Below are 5,463 nucleotides of genomic sequence, written 5' to 3' on the forward strand. Positions count from 1 at the left end.
TACTTCCAATTATGTGGTCAATTTTAGAATAAGTGTGATATGGTGCTGAGAAGAATGTATATTCTGTTGATTTGTGGTGGAGAGTCCCGTAGATGTCTATTAGGTCTGCTTGTTGCAGAGCTGAGTTCTGGTCCTGGATATCCTTGTTAGCCTTCTGTCTCGTTGATCCATCTAATATTGACAGCATGATGTTAAAGTCTCCCATTATTATTGTGTGGGAGTCTAAGTCTCTTTGTAGGTCTCTAATGGCTTGCTTTATGAGTTTGGGTGCTCCTGTATTGGGTGCATATATATTTAGGATAGTTAGCTCTTCTTGTTGAATTGATCCCTTTACCATTATGTAATGGCCTTCTTTGTCTCTTTTGATCTTTGTTGATTTAAAGTCTGTTTTATCAGAGACTAGGATTGCAACCCCTGCTTTTTTTTTTTTTTTTCCATTTGCTTGGTGGATCTTCCTCCATCCCTTTATTTTGAGCCTATGTGCATCTTGGCATGTGAGATGGGTCTCCTGAATATAGGACACTGATAGGTCTTGACTCTTTATCCAATTCGCCTGTCTGTGTCTTTTAATTGGGGCATTTACCCCATTTACATTTAAAGTTAATACTATTATGTGTAAATTTGATCCTGTCATTATGATGTTCACTGGTTATTTTGCCCATTAATTGATACAGTTTCTTCATAGCATTGATGGTCTTTGCAATATGGCCTGTTTTTGCAGTGGCTCGTACCGGTTGTTTCTTTCCATGTTTATTGCATCCTTCAGGAGCTCTTGTAAGGCAGGCCTGGTGATGACAAAACCTCTCAGCATTTGCTTGTCTGTGAAGGATTTTATTTCTCCTTCACATATGAAGCTTAGTTTGGCTGGATATGAAATTCTGGGTTGAAAATTATTTTCTTTAAGAATGTTGAGTATTGTCCCCCACTCTCTTCTGGGTTGTAGGGTTTCTGCTGAGAGATCCGCTATTAGTCTGATGGGCTTCCCTTTGTCGGTAACTCGACCTTTCTCTCTGGCTGCCCTTGACACTTTTTCCTTCATTTCAACCATGGTGAATCTGACTAGTATATGTCTTGGGGTTGCTCTTTTCGAGGAGTATCTTTGTGGTGTTGTCTGTATTTCCTGAATTTAAATGTTGGCCTGTCTTGCTATGTTGGGGAAATTCTCCTGGATAATATCCTGGAGAGTGTTTTTCAACTTGGTTCCATTCTCCCCATCACTTTCATGTACACCAGTCAAATGTAGATTTGGTCTTTTCACATAGTCCCATATTTCTTGGAGGCTTTGTTCATTTCTTTTCACTCTTTTTTCTCTAAACTTGTCTTCTTGCTTTATTTCATTAATTTGATCTTCAATCACTGATACCCTTTCTTCCACTTGATTGAATCAGCTATTGAAGCTTGTGCATGCGTCACAAAGTTCTTGTGCCATGATTTTCAGCTCCATCAGGTCATTTAAGGTCTTCTCTACACTGTTTATTCTAGTTAGCCATTCGTCTAATCTTTTTTCAAGGTTTTTAGCTTCCTTGAGATGGGTTCGAGCATCCTCCTTTAGCTCGGAGAAATTTGTTATTACTGACCTTCTGAAGCCTACTTCTGTCAACTGGTCAAAGTCATTCTCCATCCAGCTTTGTTCTATTGCTGGCCAGGAGCTGCGATCCTTTGGAGGAGAAGAGGTGCTCTGATTTTTAGAATTTTAAGCTTTTCTGCTCTTGTTTCTCCCCATCTTTGTGGTTTTACCTACCTTTGGACTTTAATGTTGGTGACCTACAGATGGGGTTTTGGTGTACATGATCTTTTTGTTGATGTTGATGCTATTCCTTTCTATTTGTTAGTTTTCCTTCTAACAGTCAGGTCCCTCAGCTGCAGGTCTGTTGGAGTTTGCTGGAGTTCCACTCCAGAACCTGTTTGCCTGTGTATTACCAGCAGAGGCTCCAGAACAACAAATATTGCAGAACAGCAAATATTGCTGCCTGATCCTTCCTCTGGAAGCTTTGTCCCAGAGAGGCAGCTGCCTATATGAGGTGTCTGTCAGCCCCTACTGGGACCCACTTGCGGAGGCAGTCTGTCCATTCTCAGAGCTCAAATGCTGTGCTGGGAGAACCACTGCTCTCTTCAGAGCTGTCAGACAGGCATGTTTAAGTCTGCAGAAGTTTCTGCTGCCTTTTGTTCAGCTATGCTCTGCTCACAGAGATGGAGTCTAGAGGCAGTAGGCCTTGTTGAGCTGCAGTGGGCTCCACTCAGTTCGAGCTTCCTGGCCACTTTGTTTACCTACTCAAGCCTCAGCAATGGTGGACGCTCCTCCCCCAGCCAGGCTGCCATCTCACAGATCGATCTCAGACTGCTGTTCTAGCAGTGAGCAAGGCTCTGTGGGCATGGGAGCCACTGAGCTGGGCAAAAGAGAGAATCACCTTGTCTGCCAGTTGCTAAGACCTTGGGAAAAGCACAGTATTTAGGCAGGAGTGTTCCATTTTTCCAGGTACCATCTGTCACAGCTTCCTTTGGCTAGGAAAGGGAAATCCCATGATCCCTAGTGCTTCCTGGGTAAGGCAATGCCCCGCCCTGCCTTGGCTTGCCCTCCATGGGCTACAGCCATTGTCCAACCGGTTCCAGTGAGATGAACCAGGTACCTCAGTTGGAAATGCAGAAATCACCCATCTTCTGCATCGATCACGCTGGGAGCTGCAGACCAGACCTGTTCCTATTCGGCCATCTTCTTCAGTTCAAACTTCTAAGATCAGCTCTAATATTTTGTCCTCTCTCCTCATTCTTTTAACTCCAACCATTAAGACACATTTTATTTCCTGAATATGTAATGTTCTCTCTTATTTCTGAGCCATTAAACAACTTGTTCTTCCCCATATTTGAAACACCTTTCTCCCTCAACCCCTCTACCTGGATAATTATGAGTCTTCCTTTAGGATTCATTTTAAGCATCACTTATTCAGAGAGATCCTTCTTGACTCTACAGATTACTTAAGTCTCTGTTGTTGCACTCTAAACTTTGATTTTGGCTATACTAATTATACCTGTAACTAATTATGTAGCAAATTTAATTTTCATTGTTACAGACTCAGAGATTTTTAAAAATCTGTATTTACTGATATATTTTATCTAATATATTCTGCGTTTTGACTACAAATCTGATGGCACTAAATTTATTTGTGTTACTTACAATATGACCAGCCACTATAAGATTTTTATTGTTTGTATGAATTAAATTTAGTATACTGTAAGAGATCTCAAAATACAAAAGCTTTAATAACATAGCTGTAAATTTTCTCTCCAATAAGAGTACCAAAGCCTAGGCTCACTGTTCAGCTCTCCTGAAAGAAGTAATGCTGGGCAGGACCCAGGTCCTTTCTGTTCACTGGCTCTAACTTCTCTAAATTCATCATCATGAACTGTATAACTGAGTCTAGATTACATCCATGTTTAAATTACAGCCTGTGGAAGGAGAAAAAGTTAAATTCTAGAAAAAAGAGCTTGGAGATGCCTAGAGTTACAATTTGTACCATGCCAGGTTGGATTCTTGTTCACAACTATTCTCTCCTTTCTTTAATTAAGTTATATATCCACACCTTTTGCCAAATGACTTCATAGTACCCTACCAGTAGATAAACTAGAGAAGATATTCCTGCTCCATCAATGACTTGGTCATTGCTATTTTACTATTGGAATGTGTATGGAAATGATGGTGTGTTTGTTCCAATCAGAAGCTTTGAGAGACTTTGTGTATTCTTCTAGTCTGTCATCAGTTTCCAACCTTCTATAAGAGAAAAGGCTGCACCAGACCGTGGTTGCTCCTTGTGGTTTCCAAGAATAAAAAGATACTGTAGTCACATTTTGTTTATCAATTTCTCAGTTGATGGCTTGTTTCTATCTTTTCCCTATTATGAATAATACTACTATGAACATTTGTGTAGAAACTTTTGTGTAAACATATGTTTTTATTTCTCTTGGGTATATATCTAGTGCCAACATTACTGGGCCATCTGGTAACTCTATGTTCAATTGTTTCATGAACTGTCAGTTTATTCCGAAGCTGCTGCATCATTTTATATTCCCAAAAGCAGCATATACATGTTTAGAATTTTCCAAATCCTTACTGACACTTCCTAATGTCTGATTTTTTTATTCTAGTGGATGTGAAGTAGTATCTTATTGTGGTTTTGATTTGGATTTTCCTAGTAAATAATGATGTCAGACATCTTTTTATTTATTTATTTATTTTTTGCTTTTTAGCCATTAGTATATCTTTCTTGAAACAGTATCAGTTCAGGTCTTTTTCTCATAGTTTAATCAGGTTATTTGTCATTTTATTATTGAGCTGTGAGAACTTTATTCTGGATGCAAGTCCTTTATTAGATATATTCTTTTCATATATTTTCTCCATTCTGTGTGTTGTTTAGTTTTGTTTTTACTTTTTAAATGGTGTACTAGAAACACTAAAGTTTAAAATTTTAAAATTTTTATGAAGTTAAATTAACATATATTTTCTTCGGTTGCCCATCCTTTGGATGTCATATATAAGAATCCTTTGCTGAATACAAGGTCATGAAGATTTATCCCAATCTTTAATCTTTTCTCATGAATATTTTATATTTTACCACTTACATCTAGGTCTTTTAAAAAATGTTTTATTTTTAATGTTTGTGTGTACATGGTAGGTGTATATATTTATGGGGAACATGAAATATTTTGACAAACACATACAATATCTAATAATCATATCAGGGTAAATTGAGTATTCATCTACTCAAGCCTTTATCTTTTTTTGTGTTACTGACAGTACAATGCTAATATTTTATTAATTTTTAGATATACAATAAATTATTGTTGACTGTAGTCACCCTGTTCTGCTATCAATTAGTAGATCTTATTCATTCTATTATTTTTGGATCCATTAACCATCCACACTCCACCTCTCATTACCCTTGCTTGCTTCTGATAACCATCATTATACTCTAAATCTCTGTGAGTTCAGTTGTTTTTATTTTAGCACCCACAAATCAGTGAAAACATGTGAAAGGTCTCTTTCTGTGCCTATTTACTTCACTTAATATAAGAACCTCCAGTTCCATCCATGTTGGGCAAACCACAGGACATCATTTTTTTATGGCTGAATAATACCCCATTGTGTATATCATGTTTTCTTTATCCATTAGTCTGTTGATGAACATTTAGATTGCTTCCAAATCTTGGCTATTGTAAATAGTGTTATAATAAATATGGGAGAGCAGATATCTCTTTGATATATTGAATTTCTTTCTTTTGGGTATATACTTAGCAGTGGGATTGCTGGATCATATGGTAGCTTTATTTTTAGAATTTGAGGAACCTCCAAACCAGTGGTTGTACTGATTTGCATTCCAACCAACAATGTACTAGGTTTCCCTTTTCTCTGTATCTTGGCAGCATTTGTTATTACCTGTCCTTTGAATATAAGCCATTTTAATTGGAATG

At 37.7% G+C, this 5,463-nt stretch overlaps 2 annotated features.

Moving 5' to 3' along the window:
* Positions 1,837-2,338: an enhancer, noted in NCBI's record as "H3K27ac hESC enhancer chr2:193795141-193795642 (GRCh37/hg19 assembly coordinates)". NCBI's record gives its function as "activates a minimal SCP1, AML or CMV promoter by ChIP-STARR-seq in naive H9 embryonic stem cells {active_cell/tissue: H9 hESC(naive)}" and the evidence as "EXISTENCE:reporter gene assay evidence [ECO:0000049][PMID:30033119]".
* Positions 2,339-2,838: an enhancer, noted in NCBI's record as "H3K27ac hESC enhancer chr2:193795643-193796142 (GRCh37/hg19 assembly coordinates)". NCBI's record gives its function as "activates a minimal SCP1, AML or CMV promoter by ChIP-STARR-seq in naive H9 embryonic stem cells {active_cell/tissue: H9 hESC(naive)}" and the evidence as "EXISTENCE:reporter gene assay evidence [ECO:0000049][PMID:30033119]".

The sequence above is a fragment of the Homo sapiens genome, chromosome 2 (assembly GCF_000001405.40).
Source record: "Homo sapiens chromosome 2, GRCh38.p14 Primary Assembly".
In the NCBI taxonomy this organism is placed as follows: domain Eukaryota; kingdom Metazoa; phylum Chordata; class Mammalia; order Primates; family Hominidae; genus Homo; species Homo sapiens.